The 16,840-nt window shown below is 40.0% G+C and overlaps 2 protein-coding genes across 24 annotated transcripts in view, besides 3 other annotated features; one reads left to right on the forward strand and one right to left on the reverse strand.

The window, feature by feature from the left end:
• The window catches only part of ESF1 (ESF1 nucleolar pre-rRNA processing protein), a 70,595-nt gene extending 62,116 nt beyond the window's left edge, over positions 1-8,479 (reverse strand). The window contains exons 1-2 of one of the 3 annotated variants that reach the window (NM_001276380.2): positions 8,440-8,479; positions 6,064-6,743 (exon numbers count right to left, since the gene is read on the reverse strand). In NM_001276380.2, coding sequence (NP_001263309.1) covers positions 6,064-6,700 — 637 coding nt within the window. In that variant the 5' untranslated portion in view covers positions 6,701-6,743; positions 8,440-8,479. Of the gene's footprint in view, positions 1-6,063; positions 6,744-6,929 lie in introns of all 3 variants that reach the window. The other 2 variants (NM_016649.4, XM_017027874.3) reach the window with 2 other exon arrangements.
• Positions 8,524-8,813: an enhancer, noted in NCBI's record as "active region_17552". NCBI's record gives its function as "activates an Ori minimal core promoter by ATAC-STARR-seq in GM12878 lymphoblastoid cells {active_cell/tissue: GM12878}" and the evidence as "EXISTENCE:reporter gene assay evidence [ECO:0000049][PMID:35858748]".
• The window catches only part of NDUFAF5 (NADH:ubiquinone oxidoreductase complex assembly factor 5), a 36,553-nt gene continuing 28,300 nt past the window's right edge, over positions 8,588-16,840 (forward strand). For 9 of the 21 annotated variants that reach the window (NR_147978.2, NR_029377.2, NR_147980.2 and 6 more), the window contains exons 1-4: positions 8,588-8,850; positions 10,872-10,912; positions 12,149-12,212; positions 16,740-16,787. Coding sequence is in view for 9 of the 21 variants with exons in the window: in NM_024120.5 (NP_077025.2) it covers positions 8,629-8,850; positions 10,872-10,912; positions 12,149-12,212; positions 16,740-16,787 (375 nt within the window). In the remaining 12 variants the exon portion in view is untranslated. Of the gene's footprint in view, positions 8,851-9,909; positions 10,913-12,148; positions 12,213-16,719; positions 16,788-16,840 lie in introns of those variants that run through there. The other 12 variants (NR_147982.2, NR_147981.2, NM_001352407.2 and 9 more) reach the window with 6 other exon arrangements.
• Positions 8,809-9,498: an enhancer, noted in NCBI's record as "NANOG-H3K27ac hESC enhancer chr20:13765895-13766584 (GRCh37/hg19 assembly coordinates)". NCBI's record gives its function as "activates a minimal SCP1, AML or CMV promoter by ChIP-STARR-seq in naive H9 embryonic stem cells {active_cell/tissue: H9 hESC(naive)}" and the evidence as "EXISTENCE:reporter gene assay evidence [ECO:0000049][PMID:30033119]".
• Positions 11,910-12,049: a silencer, noted in NCBI's record as "silent region_12680". NCBI's record gives its function as "represses an Ori minimal core promoter by ATAC-STARR-seq in GM12878 lymphoblastoid cells {active_cell/tissue: GM12878}" and the evidence as "EXISTENCE:reporter gene assay evidence [ECO:0000049][PMID:35858748]".

The following is a 16,840-nucleotide window of genomic DNA, read 5'->3' on the forward strand; positions in this document are numbered from 1 at the left end:
CATAACTTCTATGAAACAGAGTAAAGGAAAATACACTTAACCAAGTTATTTAATGGAAATCCTAACACATGCTCACATCACGCAAGTAGATCCAGACATTCATTCAATACTTAACAGTGTGCCTGCTACGTGCTAAGTGCTCAATATACAACAGTTGGTAAAAGAGAAGCAAACAGTGCTCTCAGTGAAACTTCTAGCTGAGTGAAAAGAATACATGGATATCAAATAAAATCAATATATAGGAAAAGTTAAAATCACAACTAAGATATCCCAGAAAGAATGTTTTCTAAGGGGATTTAATGGGGTCCCTAAGTGAGTGATAACTGAGCTGTTACTTGAAGGATGAACAGGAGTTAAATAGTCAAAGTTAGACTAATAGATGGAAATTTGTTTGAAAGAGCAAGGAAGGTACCTGTAAAAATCTGCCAATAGGAAAAAGCCAACCATCATGTCCAGATCACAGATAGCACAGAATCAAGTAACAAATGGAAATGAAGAGTTAAGTAGAGGCCAAGCTATCAAAAAACCATATAGAGAGCTTGGACTTTTTCATAAAAGCAATGGGAAGACACTGCTGTTTTCAAAAAAGAGGATGTCATCTTCTTTTGGATATTGTCATCCTCAGACTTGCATATTGAGGAGATCACCTTGACTATACTGTAGAAAACTGACTTGGGAAAGTAAAGAACAGATGTGAATATAGTAAAGGTAGTACAGTACAAAAAGCAAGAAATGAAGGTAGCACTAAGTTGGGTGGCAGTATGTATGCAGAGATGTACATGGATTTCAGAGTCAGTCAGGAAGTGAAACCAATAATTACCGACTGGAGATTTGACACGGGGACTGGGAGTTTTGGAAGTGTCAAAGATGAGTCATAGCTTCTTAGCTTTCAGAGCTAGTTAGCTAAGAAGATGGAAAGATGAAAAGGGAACACTGGAAATGAACTAGTTTGTTTGGTGGAGGGAAATCATGAGTTCAGTTTTGAATATGTTGAATACGAAGTGCCACTCAGTCATCTAAAAGAAAGTATCAATAATAAGAGTGTACAGCTCAGAGAAGTCTGGGTTGGAGATCAGTGACTCATTCATACGCAGTTGACAACAGAAGCTGTGATGTGGATGAGATCACCTATAAAGACAGAGAAATAATATTTATACTTTTTCTGCCAGGTCTTGAACTTTGTAATCAACTGTCATGATTAGCAATACACCAAGATTGAAAGACTGTTTTTGCTTAAGATGGAAATTTTAGTCCTCACAACTCTGAAAGGGCTCATTTCCTACTTCTAAAGCAATCACAGGCTTCTATCTACTTGGTGTGTAGATATATCTTACGTGTTTTACTCATCTTTAAGTTGGAGCTTATTTTCTGCTTACAGGCTCTAAGTTTGGAAAATTAAAAGCAAATTTAAAAGTTCAAGATTTAGAATGAAATTGGAACTAATTTTCTCTTGGTCCTATAATCTTATAATAGTTATTCACTGACCAAATATTTACTGAGTATCTACTACATACAAAGAATTGAGCTAGGATAAGGGAAAAGAGAGAAGATTTGTAACACGATCTCATGCTCTTGATGGATTCATAAATAAAAGGTAACCATTTACTGATTTATAAATCTATGTTCTCAATCACCATACAGTGAGAGACATCTAAATTTGCCTGCAGAGAGGTATTTATAAAAAGGCTTCACAAAGATACAACTTGACTTGAGACTAACTGAATGAAAAGGCATCTTGTTAGAAGGAAAAGCAGGAAATGGGCTTTTATGTTACCACCACAACGAAGCAGGGATTAATAAAAATAACTAGCCAATAGAAGTGAAAAGCGCCAAAATGAAAGCATTGTCACAGGTTCTATATATGAGATCTGAAAAACACAACATTGAAAGTTACTATGAGGTAAGCAGAATTTACTTTTAAGCAACAAGCTTAGAAATAACATCTTACAGACCCAGTCTATCTAGTATTGCAATATTTCTCAACTGTCAGTCATTATACCATTTTCATGATTTTTGAATATCATTTTTTTATTAAATTGAATTTTTTAAAAGTTAGTTTTGCTCTAAACAATATTCCTAAAGTCACAGAAGTGATAGGGTAATTACATTGTTTTCTAAGATGTTGACACAGTACATAACTATTAATATTTTAGAAGTTTGAGTATCATCAAAAATCTTCTCACTTATGACAATGGTACACATACCACACTTTGGGTTATATAATAATAAAGTGTTGCATAAGAGACTTAAAGAGGTCTTCCATTTCAATGTTTTTAACAATATCAACTGCATTCAGAGTATTTATTCATTCAATAAGTATCTGCAGCCGAGCACAGCTGCTCACGCCTGTAATCCCATCATATTAGGAGGCCAAGATGGGAGGATCTTGAGCCCAGGAGTTTGAGACAAGCCTGGGCAACATGGCAAAACTCTTTGTCTCTACAAAAATACAAAAATTAGCTAGGCATGGTGGGGTGCACCTGTGGTCCCAGTGACTCGGAAGGCTGAGGTGGGAGAATCACCTGGGCCCAGGAAGTTGCGGCTGCAGTGAGCTGTGATTGCACCACTGCACTCCAGCCTGGGCAGCAGAGCGAGACCCTGTCTCCAAAAATAAAAATAAAAAACCCCAAAAAGTATCTGCTTAGAGCCCACAATGTACACAGCCTTGTGCAAGATAATGTGGGGTTACACAAATATAAATGTCTCTATTCCTAGACAGTATTGCTCTAGTAGTGACTGTAAACATTACTACTTATCCAGCTACTTCAAACAAAAAACAAAAAAAAACCAAAAAAACTGCTTTACCATTTTCCCCCAATTATAAACATAATGAATGATCATTACAAACCAAAAAAAGTTAGGAAAATATGGTTAATAAATAAAACAAAGGTGACTAGCAGTAATTTTTCATTCAAAGATAACTGGTTATTTTAGTATACAACCATATCCCTAAATTTCTTTTCTTTAATTTAAATACTAATTTGTTTAAAATAACTGGTCATATCGTTATTTTGGAACCTATTTTTAAAACTTCATAGATCACAGATGTTTGCATATATTTAATTAATCTCTTAATGATTTGTTACCATTTTAATTTCTATTTTCATTTTTTGAGACAAGGTCTTGCTCTGTTGCCCAGGCTGGAGTGCAGTGGCACGATCTTGGCTCACTGCAACCTCTACCTCCTGGGTTCAAGTGATTCTCGTGCCTCAGCCTCCCAAGTAGCTGGGATTACAGGTGTGCACCACTATGCCCAGCTAATTTTTGTATTTTTAGTAGAGACCGGGTTTTGCCATGTTGGCTAGGCTGGTCTCAAACTCCTGACCTCAAGCAATCCACCCGCCTCGGTCTCCCAAAGTGCTGGGATTATAAAGGTGAGCCACTGTGCCCAGCCAGTTACCGTTTTATTTTAAAAATAATGCTGCAATGCACATTCTTTGCACACATCCAATTATTTATGTAAAATAGATTCTGAGGAGTGCAAGTGCTGGGCATGAACATTTCATGATGACAAATATCACACTGCAAGTCCTCACATCACCTTTACTTCACAGCACTTAAAAAGGCCCTTGCACACAGTAATTGCTGTAATAACTGATGAATGGATAATGAACAGAAGATTATATATGGAGCCGTGTAATCCTTATTTATGAGTAATGCCTTTCCTAGACTGTGGAACCAACAAAATTACTGCAAGCAATGTGGTGGGGTAGAAGGAGTCAGAAGACTTGAGTTGCAGTTCCAGGTCTGCATGTCCTTACATAAGTCACTTTAATCTTGTTCGCTGATACAGTCTTATTGCTCAAGGTAACTAAGAAAATTAAATGAGAAAAGATATGTAAAAAAGTCTGTAAAATCAATCTAAAGGATTATATAGCTATGTTATATTAATTCAGTGCCCCAAATGAAGTGGATGCTAGACTAACTTACCTCACTAATTCAGTGTCAAATCAACTTTGCTGCCGGTCCCACTCCAATCTTATTCTTCAATTTTAGTAACCGGATTCCTATCCTTTCTTCCCACACCTCAAGAGGTCTGCTGCCTGGTTCCACTACAAATGTAAAATGGGATACCACCACTGACTCCCTAGTCCTTGCTATCCAGAATTCACTCCACTGCCTGATACCTTCTACCCTCACAGTGTGATCTCTGCTTATCAAGACCTCTTGGCCTATCAAAACCTCTTGGCCTATCAAGAACTCTTGGGCTATCAAGACCTCTTGGCCTATCAAGACCTCTCGGCCTATCAAGACCCCTCCTTGGATCCTGTAATCACAGGTCTGGCTCATGTGAACTACTACTGGTTTTCAGTTACATCTTCAACTATCAGCAACATCAACACTCAAAATTGCTTGCTGCTGGAGGTGACAAAAAATTTTAATTAGTAAACACGTAATGCAAACTAGAGCCAGCTGTCTCTCACCTAGTTCCAAACAATCATTTCTCGCTGCTACTCATTTTGGCCCTTCAAGACCTTATTATCTAATCAAACGGGACTACTGACCTCTTCTGAACATGCCCAATCACATCTTTGCTCAAAAAGTTCTTTCCATGTAGCACACTCTGGTCCTCAAACTTAAATTTTTCCACACCCCAAAGTAGTGCGTCCCCTATGAATTTTTCTGATTACCACATCTTGAGTGACTTCTTCCTCCAGATTTCCATGGCTTTCTGCTAAACATCTTTTACGGCACTTACTATTATTGCATTTTGTATTATGGTTCTGACTTTCTTCTACTTTAGATCTATATTGTCCAATATGGTAGCCAGTAGTCACATGTGGTAACGGAGCACTTGAAATGCGTTTTGTCTAACTTGACATTAATATGAAAATAGTATTAGTATGAAATGAGTAGAAAATGGGATGTAAAATATACATTGACTTTTATATTGATTACATATTGAAATAATTTTGATATATTGGGTTACATAAAATATATTATTTAAAATAATTTTACCTGTTTCATCTTACTTTTTAATGTGGTTACTAGAAAATCCAAAATTATGTATTTCTACTAGACAATGTTGCTTTAGACAGGGGCCACTGCACAAAGTTTAGCAGGCTGTTATCCGCACAGGGGCATTTATAAAAGGACAAGAAGGGCTAAAATCAAGGCCATCCTACACTCACCAAGCCATGCACTCTGGAGGGGGCTGTGTCTGCTCAGGGGCAAAAAATCTGTTGCTTCAAAGGCGCCATCTCTTCACCAAAGTGTGACCCCTGGGAGCTCTGTGTGTCCAGAGAGCATGCCTTTTTCTAATTTGCATAAAGGCATCATATAAGCTAGCGACAGCCCTGAGATGGGTGACGACGCCTTACTCATATTCTGCCTGCCACATACTAGTGGCAAAGCAACTGAACAAATTAATGAATGAGTACTCAACTCTACTTACCCTCTTATTTTATTTTTGAGACGGAGTCCTACTTACCCTATTTATTTTATTTTACTTTTGAGACAGAGTCTCGCTCTGTCAGCCAGTCTGGAGTGCAGTGGTGCAATCTCAGCTTATTGCAACCTCCACCTCCCAGGTTCAAGCAATTCTCCTGCCTCAGCCTCCCGAATAGCTGGGACTACAGGTGTGCGCCACCATGCCTGGCTATTTTTTTTTATTTTTAGTAGAGATGGGGTTTCACCATGTTGGCCAGGCTGGTCTTGAACTCCTGACCTCAAGTGATCTGCCCGCCTTGGCCTGCCAAAGTGCTGGGATTACAGGCGTGAGCCACCATGTCCGGCCTACTTACCCTCTTTAGACACATCTCTTCTTATCATGTGATGACATATAACACTTTATCTGGTTAGAGAATATAGTTCTCATTAGGGCTCACCACTAATCAAAATCACTGTTTAACTTCAAGATTCAAATTTTCATGTCTGTCTTCTAGCACCACATCAAAAATTAATAATCACTGCATATTTCTTTTATAGCTTTGTATTTCCAGATAAGCATTTGACCATTCCATAATACTATGAAAATACTTATTAATGTGTTTACATTTTTGAAAGATCAGTATAAAAATAAATAATGTAACACCCAAGAATCTCTAATTTTTTCCAACCTACCTGATTGCATTTCTCTTCTTGTCTTAGAACACTCGATTCTGGGAGATTTCACAATTTCAGAGGTGCCTGAGTCTAATGTCCTTTGTTTTTCTTCGAGAGAAGAGTCTGTAGTATGTTGAACAATGTTTTTTTTCTCTTTCTTATTTTTTTGTGTAAATTCTTTGCTATCCTTCTTCGGACTTATGTTTGAATCTATCTTAAATTTACATGAGGTTTTCATTTTTTTAATTCCTATAGAATTATCTAAATCAGTTTTATTTTCAGAACCCTTGTGATTAGCCTTCTTGGTTTCTTTCTTTTTCTCAACTAGATTTTTTGAATCGATTTCTTTTTTAGTCTGGGTTTTTTTCTTCTTTATTTTCTTTTGACTCAATGCTTTGCTATCTTCACCAGAGAGATTGGAATCAGAATCTGAAAGGTCGTAAAAACGCTTCAAATCCTCTGTAGTGCTATGGCTAATGGGGCGCCCTCTTTTATCCACGGCATAGTTCAACTTGAACTTCTTGTCATGAAACATGGCTCGAAATCTCTTGTCAATTTTGACTTTTCGATCCTTTTCTGGCATTTCCCAAAATCTCGGGTCCTTTGCAACCCGTCTAAACCGCTGGTCACTCATTATTTCTTGTTTGGATGACATTTTTAATTCTTAATCTCGACCAAATGCTTGAAGAAAACAAATACTGAAAAATAAAACAAATGTTTTAATGGTAATAATGGTTAGTACAATAATTAAATGTTTTAAAACACATTCACAATATATTCTAAGTTAATATATTCTAAGTTAAGTGTACATAAAATAGAGGTAACAAGTCTAATTTCATCTCTCCAACGTATTCTGGGTCACATGCAAAAAAGCAGAAACATACCAAAATATCCTCTTTCCATGACAGATCATTTAGAGAAATAAACTTAAGGTAGACAAAGCAGAATCCCAGGGCTTTATGGAGGGGAACAAATGTTTATTCATCCATTGCTCTCACTTAGAATTTCTATTTGTATACCAGTATGTGTTACTAATTGAAGGCAAATGTAGTTAAGATTCCCTAGGCCGAGTGCGGTGGCTCACCAGCACTTTCGGAGGCCAAGGCGGGCGGATCACTTGAGCCCAGGAGTTCAGGACCAGCCTGGGTAACATGGTGAATCCCCACAAGAAATACAAAAATGAGCCCGGCATGGTGGCGCGCGCCTGTAGTCCCAGCTACTTTGGAGGCTAAGGCAAGAGGATCACTTCCACCCGGGAGGTCTTGGCTAGAGTGAGCCTAACGGCACTACAGCACACCAGCTGGGGCAACAGAGTGAGACCCTGTCTACCAAAAAAAAGTAAGAAAGAAAGATTCCCTAGCCTCCGTTGGCCTCATTTGTTTCTTCACATTCTGGTCTCATTCTGCTTACTCCTTATCTCCGGCTACTGCCAACAAACAGCCTTTAGTTCTGTAAGACTAGCATTCTAACTAAACAGACCAAAATCAACTCAGGTTTAGCTAAGAAAGTTTCCTTTTTAAATTCGATCATCCTTCAAAAGTAATAAAAAGTTTAAAAATAAAAAGTAAATTTGAGTCTCCAGGTAAAGTCTCACACCAGTTAATAAATATCACTTCTTTCTATAATATCTGATTCTACCAGTGATGAAGGCCCAAGTGAGCTCATTCCCCCAAAACATACTAGAACATATACATATGTGTGTATAAATTAATATTGTTCCCTTGTGAAAAGTCTCCAATGGTTTAGCATCTCTGGATGGGAATTTTGCAAAGAGCCAAAAGTCGTTGATTATTAAGCAACCCCCCCCCAAAATGATTAAAAGGGCAATATTTCTTATTTAAAAATCAAGTCCTTTTAATTACACTAACTAGGAAAAAAAAGGAAGCTATCGCTGGTGCATTTACACATTTTTCGATGTATTACAGCACTTAACTCTCTGAGCAATCTTACGAGGTAGGTACCACCTCAACCAGGAGAAGTACTGCATGTATTGTAAATGTTTAGAAGGAAAGCACTCATTATATGTCAGATAATCCGAGAGAGGGGAAGGCGACCGGACCTCACTCCCGACACGCGCCCGCATCCCCGTAGCCCACCCTCCCCTTCTGCCCGCTCTCTAATTCGGAGAACACAGGGCTGGCCCCTGAACTAGGGTCTCCTTTCCACCTCCTGTACCGCAGGGGGGCAGCTAACAGACTGATTCGAGAAGCGACCCTGAAAAGGATCGATGAAGACTGAAGAATGAGACCGAAAAAGGCTCAGGAGGAAGGGGCAAAACCCCTCGCAGATCCGAAAGAGATCCTGTTAGAGACTAGTTTTTTCCCCGCGCCACACACACACACGCCCTCAAGCCCTTCATCTCGAGCTCTTCAACTCCAGTCCATCCCCACTCACCGTCCGCAGTCCTACCAAGCCTCACGTGGGGCTCACACCCACAATCCTCCGCGTGACGCTCCGCCGTAATGGCAAGCGAACTAGGCCAAACTACTTGCACGTTCCCTCGAGAAGATCTTTGGAGTAGACACAAAAGCCGCGCTGGCGCATGCGCACAAAAAGCGCCGGCAATTGGGGTCGCAGCTGGAGATGCTGCGGCCGGCAGGGCTCTGGCGCTTATGTCGGCGACCTTGGGCGGCGAGGGTCCCAGCGGAGAATCTTGGCCGTAGGGAAGTCACCTCTGGTGTCTCTCCCCGCGGTAGCACCTCGCCCAGAACCCTGAATATTTTCGACCGGGATTTGAAAAGGAAACAGAAGAACTGGGCAGCCCGGCAGCCCGAGCCGACCAAATTTGACTACCTGAAGGAGGAGGTGAGCCCGCGGGGCGGCGGGGCGGCGGGGCGGGCGACGCGGAGGCTTGTTTTCCTCTCCGCTAGTTCCGGCTAGGCCCCGAGCTCACCCCACCTAGCCGTCTGACCTTGACCAGCAGCCCTGCCTCTTTCGGCCTCTACTGTAATCACGCAAGGCCTGGCCTCGGATATTTGTAACATGCTTTCATTCATTCATGCATTCATTTCGGCAACGTCCTTGAGGCTGAAAGGACCTTATAGAGGCCTCCAGTGAAGCTCCGGAGAGGGAGAGAGTGGGAGAGAAGGTTAGGAGGACCCAAATCATCAGGGCCTTGCAGGATAGGGACTTGGGGTTTTCTTCTGTATCTGCACTGTCCAGCCAGTATGGTAACTGCCGGCCACACATGTGGCTGTTGAACACTTGAAAGGTGACTAGTCCAATTGAGATGTGTTGTAAAATACACACGAGTATAGTGACTTAGTATGAAAAAAGGATGTAAAATAGCTCATTAAGAGCTTTTATATTGATTACATGTTGCAGTGATTATTTTTGATATATTGGGTCACATGAAATATATTAAATATAAATTTAAATTTTTCAATTAAAATTTCTCTCGTTTTTACTTTTTTTCTTATGTGGCTACTAGAAAATTTGAAATTACATATGTGGCTCTCATGATTTTTGGTCAGCACTGCTCTAGGGGAATGTGAAGCTCTTGTTTTAATCAGTGGAGTGATCTGACTTATGTTTTAGGAAGATCAAATTAAGATTTCTGATTTGTCTTGGCTCGTTTGAGAAACCTTTCTCCCTGCCCAGGTGAGCCAGAGACTGAGGGTTTCTACTTTCAGGACACGCATTCTCAAGTTCAGGCCTCAGTAAATTTTTATTCAGGAGTGGAACAAAGTTGGAGTCAAGTATAATGCAACAAACAGTTATTGAACTCATAGCTTGAGCAGAGCTCTGTGCAAGTACAGGTCTGATCAGATGATTGACAGGGTGTCTTTCTCAGGAAGTCTTAGGCTGGTAATGTCTATTATAGGAAGTTTACTACCAATAAATTTTTTGTGTCTCACTTGTAAGGCATGGTGCACGTACTACACTGCTGATGTCGTGTACTTAGAAGATGTGCGCTCATAGCCCTTTCCCTCCAAAGAAAGCACCTGGACTACAACTTGATTGAGGCCTCGCCAATTTGTGAGACTAGAACAAATAAGATAAAGTATATGAGAGTTCTTTTTATAATAAACATAGGGTGTTCATATTAGGAATGACGTACAAGGTGGACTCCTGGGAAAAACATCTACGCTCCCTTCTCCCTTGCCCTTCTCTCAAAAAGCAGGTACATCTGTGTTTGGAACTTTTAAGTCCTAAGAGCAACTCTGGGGTGTTTATGAGGGAATGAGTGGAATGTGGGGAATACTAGACTCCCACGTCTTTATTGCTACCAGATGAAGCTAGGCCAGCAAAAGGTGGTGCTTACCTTATGACTCTTAAATTGGGATGGGATTGGAGCAGGGGAGGTGCACTTTCCTCAGATTTGGCTTTTTCTAACTTGCGAATGTCACTCAGAAAAGTTGTTCATTTATGAGTTCCACAAAATTTGTTAGTCATCAAATAATAGAGTTTTTCTTAAGTGACCACTTACATACTCATCTACAATAAACCCCAACTAACTAATTTTTCACTTTGTGTACCTCATGCTAATATCCGTGGACAGTAATGTGCCTGTTGTGTTCCTTTTGCTTTTCATCCTTGTGATCTTATGTCACATGGAATGTAAAGGCCACATATATATATGTGTGTGTGTGTGTGTGTATATGTATATTTTTAAGAATATTTAGTCTGGATTTCATGAAATTGACTTCTGAAATAATTTGCCTCAATTTTGTTTCCTGGTGGTTTGAGAAGAAAGTTCCTGTGGTGAAATTGAAAAGGGGATAAAGGGAAGTACTTATTTTAAAACATAAGTAACTTGTGGATTGTTGAATACTGGAAAAAGAGTGTTACTTCCCCGTTAACCTACGCCTCGTGTAATCCTTCAGGTTGGAAGTCGGATCGCAGACCGTGTATATGACATACCCAGGTAAGTGGTGGTGATCATAATACAATACCATCAACTTTTGAGTGGAAATTCAGGAGATTAAATGCTGAGAACTTGCTATCTGAAATGGCAGAACCTGGAAGAATTTACTCAGACTGGTGATTTAAATCACTCTGTAAGTCTCCTTTTTCTTGTCTGGAGAGCAAATGTTTTCTTCATTGTTGCCTGAAAAAAGAAAAGAATGTGTGGAAGCACAACTCGTATCTATCTCCAAGCCTGAATCCACTTGATTTGGCCAAAAGCAAGTAATAGAAAGATTGCTCCAAAAATGGAGATACTTAACAACATGCGAATTTTTAACATCCGAAGCCTCTGTACCTAACTGTGCCATATTGCCTGTGTTCATCATCAAGATATAGGGCATTAGGTAAATAAGGTTATCTACCACCAGGGATTCTCCAGCTATGTACTATAATTTTGACAAAGCTTTTTAAAAACAAATTGCAATGGGGCTCTTTTTGTTCCAGTTTTTCAGGAAGAATGTTCTTAGTAGATAAAATTTTAAGTTTTCTTATTATAGGTTTTTTTTTTTAAACCTATGGCCTACAATTAGATGTCTGTACCAATGTAGCATAACATAGTGTATTTAGAGGAGACAGCATGGCATGGAGGATAATAGTTCCAGCTCAGGATTCAGACTGACCGAATTCAAGTGTTGACTGCCCCTTGTTAGTTGAGGCACTTGGTTTGACTTACTTAGCTTCAGACACTTAGCACAGTACTTTGAACCTGGTACGTTTTCAGTAAAAGTTTAACTGTTACTTAAGTTCTTATTTTTTAGTTTAACATTAATACTTAATGGTATTTCACATGATGATTTCTAAGTATTCCACTGCTTCAAGAAGTCTGAGAAATAGGGATAATTATTGATAAGTATGTCAGTTATTTTCAAGTTAATTTACATTAGCTTCTTTGCATTCTTTATCTGGATGTATTATTGAGTTAAAATATCCTCATTAAATCTGTTCTTCGAGTCCACATCATGGAGCCACCTGGTGGAAAGCTGGCTCATCACAAGGTCCTGTGAATAGCTAGCAGACAGACTTGCCTTGTACTGTAGGCTCTGGTATATACAGCTTGTAAGGTGAGGCTGAAAAGGCAGATGATGTAACCTTCTGGAAGTTGTGTTTACTGGAATGATTTTACCTAAGAAAAAATAATTCTTAATTTATAGACTGTGTTATGGACAGAGCATAACCTCTGTGTCTTTTTTTTTAGAAATTTCCCCCTTGCTTTGGATCTTGGTTGTGGAAGAGGTTACATTGCACAATATTTGAATAAGGTATATTTATTCAATGACCTAATTTACTTTGAAAAGTAACATTGGCTAATTTTAAAGAAAGACTTTCCTAATCAGTTTAGCTTGCAACATATTTAGATTTTAATTATATCAGAATTGTTAATTTGTTTTTTTTTTTAAGTGGTAGAATCAATGGTGGTTTTCTCCCTTCTTTAGAATTTTTTTCTTAAAGGGTTTTTCTCTGAATCCATTATATATTATGTTTCTACCGATAATTTATTTGAATCTATAGAAGATATATTTCTCTTTGTTCACATTTTTTTATAATTACCATAAAAATCAGATTGGCATTCATACAGAAAATGTGACTTTTAGCTAGAAAAATATTAATTTTATCAGTTGATTAGAAATCTTTCTGTATCATTAAATATAAGTAGCTTTATTAATGCTTATAACATTGTATTTTGCACTTTATAATTCAGACCATGAAGACATTAATTTATTCTTTTAGCTCCTATCTATACGATATTGTGCTGGACACAAAGATGAAAGTGGAATTTCTTTTTTTTTCTGAGATGGAGTCTCACTCTGTTGCCCAGGCTGGAGTACAGTGGCACGATCTCGGCTCACTGCAACCTCTGCCTCCCGGGTTTGAACGATTCTCCTGCCGCAGCCTCCCAAGTAGCTGGGATTATGGGGGTGCACCACTATGCCCTGCTAATTTTTGTATTTTTGGTAGAGATGGGGTTTCACCATGTTGGCAAGGCCGGTCTTGAACTCCTGCCCTCAGGTGATCCGCCTGTCTCGGCATCCCAAAGCGCTGGGATGACAGGCGTGAGCTACTGCGCCCAGCCTTAAAGTGGAATTTCTTTTTTTTTTTTTTGAGACAGAGTCTCGCTCTGTTGCCCAGGCTGGAGTGCAGTGGTGCAATCTCAGCTCACTGCAAGCTTTGCCTTCCAGGTTCATGCCATTCTCCTGCCTCAGCCTCCCGAGTACCTGGGTCTACAGGTGCCCGCCACCACGCCTGGCTAATTTTTTGTATTTTTTAGTAGAGACGGGGTTTCACCGTGTTAGCCAGGATGGTCTTGATCTCCTGACCTCATGATCTGTCCGCCTTGGCCTCCCAAAGTGCTGGGATTACAGGCGTGAGCCACCATGCCCAGCCTCATAAAGTGGAATTTCTACGTAAAATCTGCTTAGATAAAACCATAGACTTGGGCCAGGGTGAGGAAGGGAGTGGTGGGGCTCCTAAAACACTATTATTGGTAATAGTAAATGCCATAGAAATGGTGCAGTCATTAAAGTGCAACAGGAATTAGGGGAAAAGAAAAAATCAGTAGGAGTTCATGTGGTCAAGGATTCTCAGGGGGCACAGAATCTGACCTGGGATTTGAAAGAATTTGAGTTGGTGGTTCCTAGCATTGGAAATCAGGGCATGGCAGGAGGAAAGGCACAGAGGTAGAATGCTGTAGGGTGTGATATAGTGATGTTTAAGGAAGATTAATCTGGGGATGGCATTCGAGAAAGATTGAAGAAGAGAAAGGGTAGAGAAACCCATCAGAAGGCTGTGTTAAAGGCATTGCAGGCATGAGAAATAAAGGCCTGCCACCCATGCAGAGCCAGCACATATAAATGATGGGATGTATGAGAGAGACCTGGAAGTATCAACAGAACTTGATGACTGATCAGATATGGTAGGCAGAGCAAATCTATTCTTTTAGTAACTCAACGCCAAAAAACATTTTTATTGATTCCTCTTATATCCTTCTCTCCCACATCTAATCCGTCAGCAGCTTTTATTTGCATTTCAAAATATAACCAAACTCTTATGTCTTCTTGCCACCTTCCCCATCACCGTGCTGTTCAGCTATCATCGCCCCTTGCCTAGATTATTGCAGTAGCCTCCTATTGGTCTCCCTGCTTTACCTTTGTCCCTGACAGTCTGTTGTCATGGCAAAGTATCCTCGTAAAACACAAATCAAATCATTGTCAGTCCTCTGCCCAGAACTGTTAGTTTGTCATCTAGTTTAGTAGTAATCCAGAGTCCTAATCTATAAGACCCTCAGGATTCTGTTTTTTTATCATGTCTCTGATCCCATCTTCTTCCTTTCACTCCCAACTTTTCAGCAACCCTGGCCTCCTTGCAGTCTCTCAAACAGGCCAGAGCTTTGCTCTATGCTCTTCCCCAAGGTATCTGTGTGTCTTAGTTGCTCACCTGTCAGATCTTTACTCAGCTGACTTCATCAAAGATTCCTCCCGTGACTGCTTTAGAAAATAGTGCCCCTGCTTTCTGCCGACTAGTTGCTTTATTTGCTTCCATAGCACTTACAAGCTCCTGATGTATGTTTATTTGGTGTCTTTCTTCTCTTACTGGATTTGCTCATTTTTGATCACTACTAAATCCTAGTACCTAAATCACAATGAGTATTTATTAAATGACTATTGCAAGATAACTTTAGAGTTTAAGTTACACCTTTTGTGACTGGAAAATTCAGGGGATGTGATGTGGCAAGGAGCACGGGATCATTCCTGTTTTAGATATGTTGAGTTTGAGATGGCAGTGGAATATGGTAGTATAAATAGCTGGCAGGTAGTTGGAAATGTGGAACTGGAATTGGGATATTGAGGTTAAGAGCATTGACTTGAAGTCAGGGCTTCAAACTTCAGCTCTGCCACTGTCTGTGTATACTCAGACCTTGGGCCAATCAATTGCTCTAGACCTCAGTTTCTATAAAATATGATCAATAATACCCATCTCAAAAGGTTGGTAAGGGGATTAAGTGAGGCAAAGTAAACCTGTCAAAGGAGGCTATAGTTCTTATTTGGAAGTCCCTTTCAGAAGTGACAATTGAAGCCGTAGAAATAGGTAAACTCTCTGAGGCAAGAATATAGAAAAGAACCTTCTGCAATTGTACTTAGGGTTGGGAGAAAGAGGAAGAGCCAATAAAGATGCCAGGAATAGTAAGATGGAAAGTGTCTTAGTAAGGTATCTTTTGATTGTTGAAAGCAAAAATGTGCTGAAGCCAGTTTAAACACAGAGACATTTGTTACAGAGAGGCTCTTATGTAACTCAGGGATCCAGAAATAGAGCCAGGCCTCACAAGAGATGGGAACTTTGAAACACCATAACAATGTTCCTCCTGTTCGCATGCACTCTGGTACTACATGAATGCTGTCTGGTTGCCTTCATTCTTTTTACTCCCTGTAGTCTATCCATAGTAGTGTTCATCAGTGTGTGTGGCCCCATATGAATATGCTACACCCAAGGGTAGCTGAAGCTAGCTTAGGCCAGCCTGTGAGAGCCAATTGTTAGCATCTCTTCCCAACCTCTGTTCTGTGACATCATATTGATAGCTTGACATCAGCCCTGGTGGGAATATTTATACCATGGAAGTTGGCAAATGCTACAAAGCAGTCCCCAACCAAGAGCCAGCACACCACTGCCTATACCCTGAAGTCTAAATGTTCTTCCAACTCCAGGGACCTCTGCTATTATCTCGAAGTCTCTTAGTTCAAATTTTCAAGTGAGAGACAGGGATAGATAATCCTGTCCATCTAATTCTTCACCCCTCACAGGAGTGTGCTGGAGCTGGCTCATGAGAGCTATTGAGCACTCTTCCCAGCTCCATATTTAGCAACATCATGTTGGTAGCATGAAATCTTTCCAAGTTTCAGACAGGGAAGTGGGTGTGGGTAAAGTAAAAAAGGATTGGCTTCTCTAATAGAGAAGGGCAGCCAGAGTAGAAGCTTCTGAAGAAGCTTCTAGTAGGCTGTTGACAATGCTGTGCTTCAAAGAGGTCAGGTGAAGCAGGACTGAGAGCAGTGAGCACAGACTGCAGATAGTGTTAGCAGAGCAGTGAAAGCAAAGAGATACCCAGAATGGGGAGAAAGAATCTAGGAAGAAGTAGAGTTGTGGATTATAAACCAAACAACCAGAAGGTACCTAGAGGGAGGAGATTTTTTGTAATTGGAAAGCTTGTGCCTGTTGTAAGGTGGAGGAAGGAGACACAGAAGACACAGACTAAAGATTGATAGAGATGGAGATGGAGAGAGCAGGATCCCGGAGAAAAGAGGGCTGAGGGGGAAAGAAAGTGTTTTTCTGGTGCAGAAATAGCACAGTCTCCTTTCCTTTTGGAAGGGAGAGAGGGTAGGCGAAACAGGGAAAATGGAACCCTAAGCCTCTACCTGTAAGTCTTTCTTTACTCTGTAAACTCTTTGGATGAACAACTAAAAGGCGGGAAACTCATAGCAGGTCCTTTGTGACACAGGAGTGGGGAAATAGCTCTTAGCATGTTATGCCATGGAAAAGTTAACACGGAAGCCCTCACCCAGTGTAGTAAATTCGGAATGTTGAATACGCATACTCATGTTCTCTATTTTATTACATATAGTTAAATATAGCAAAGGATATGTGTTATTAAAAGTATTTGTGTACCATACTGGTTTTATGCAGAAATATACCTTTACAAAGCTGAAAATTAAAATGTAATTAACACTTTTACCTTTAGAAATGTCAGCAATTGTTTGTGACTGGATTTGTTTGTTTCAGCTTCAGTTATTCCATTGCAGGAAACTATTGGAAAGTTTTTCCAAGCTGACATTGCAGAAAATGCTTTGGTAGGTAGCTTTTTAATACTGTTGGTTTCTAATCTCGTGATGTGTTTTCTCAT

This window comes from Homo sapiens, chromosome 20 (genome assembly GCF_000001405.40).
Source record: "Homo sapiens chromosome 20, GRCh38.p14 Primary Assembly".
Taxonomy (NCBI): domain Eukaryota; kingdom Metazoa; phylum Chordata; class Mammalia; order Primates; family Hominidae; genus Homo; species Homo sapiens.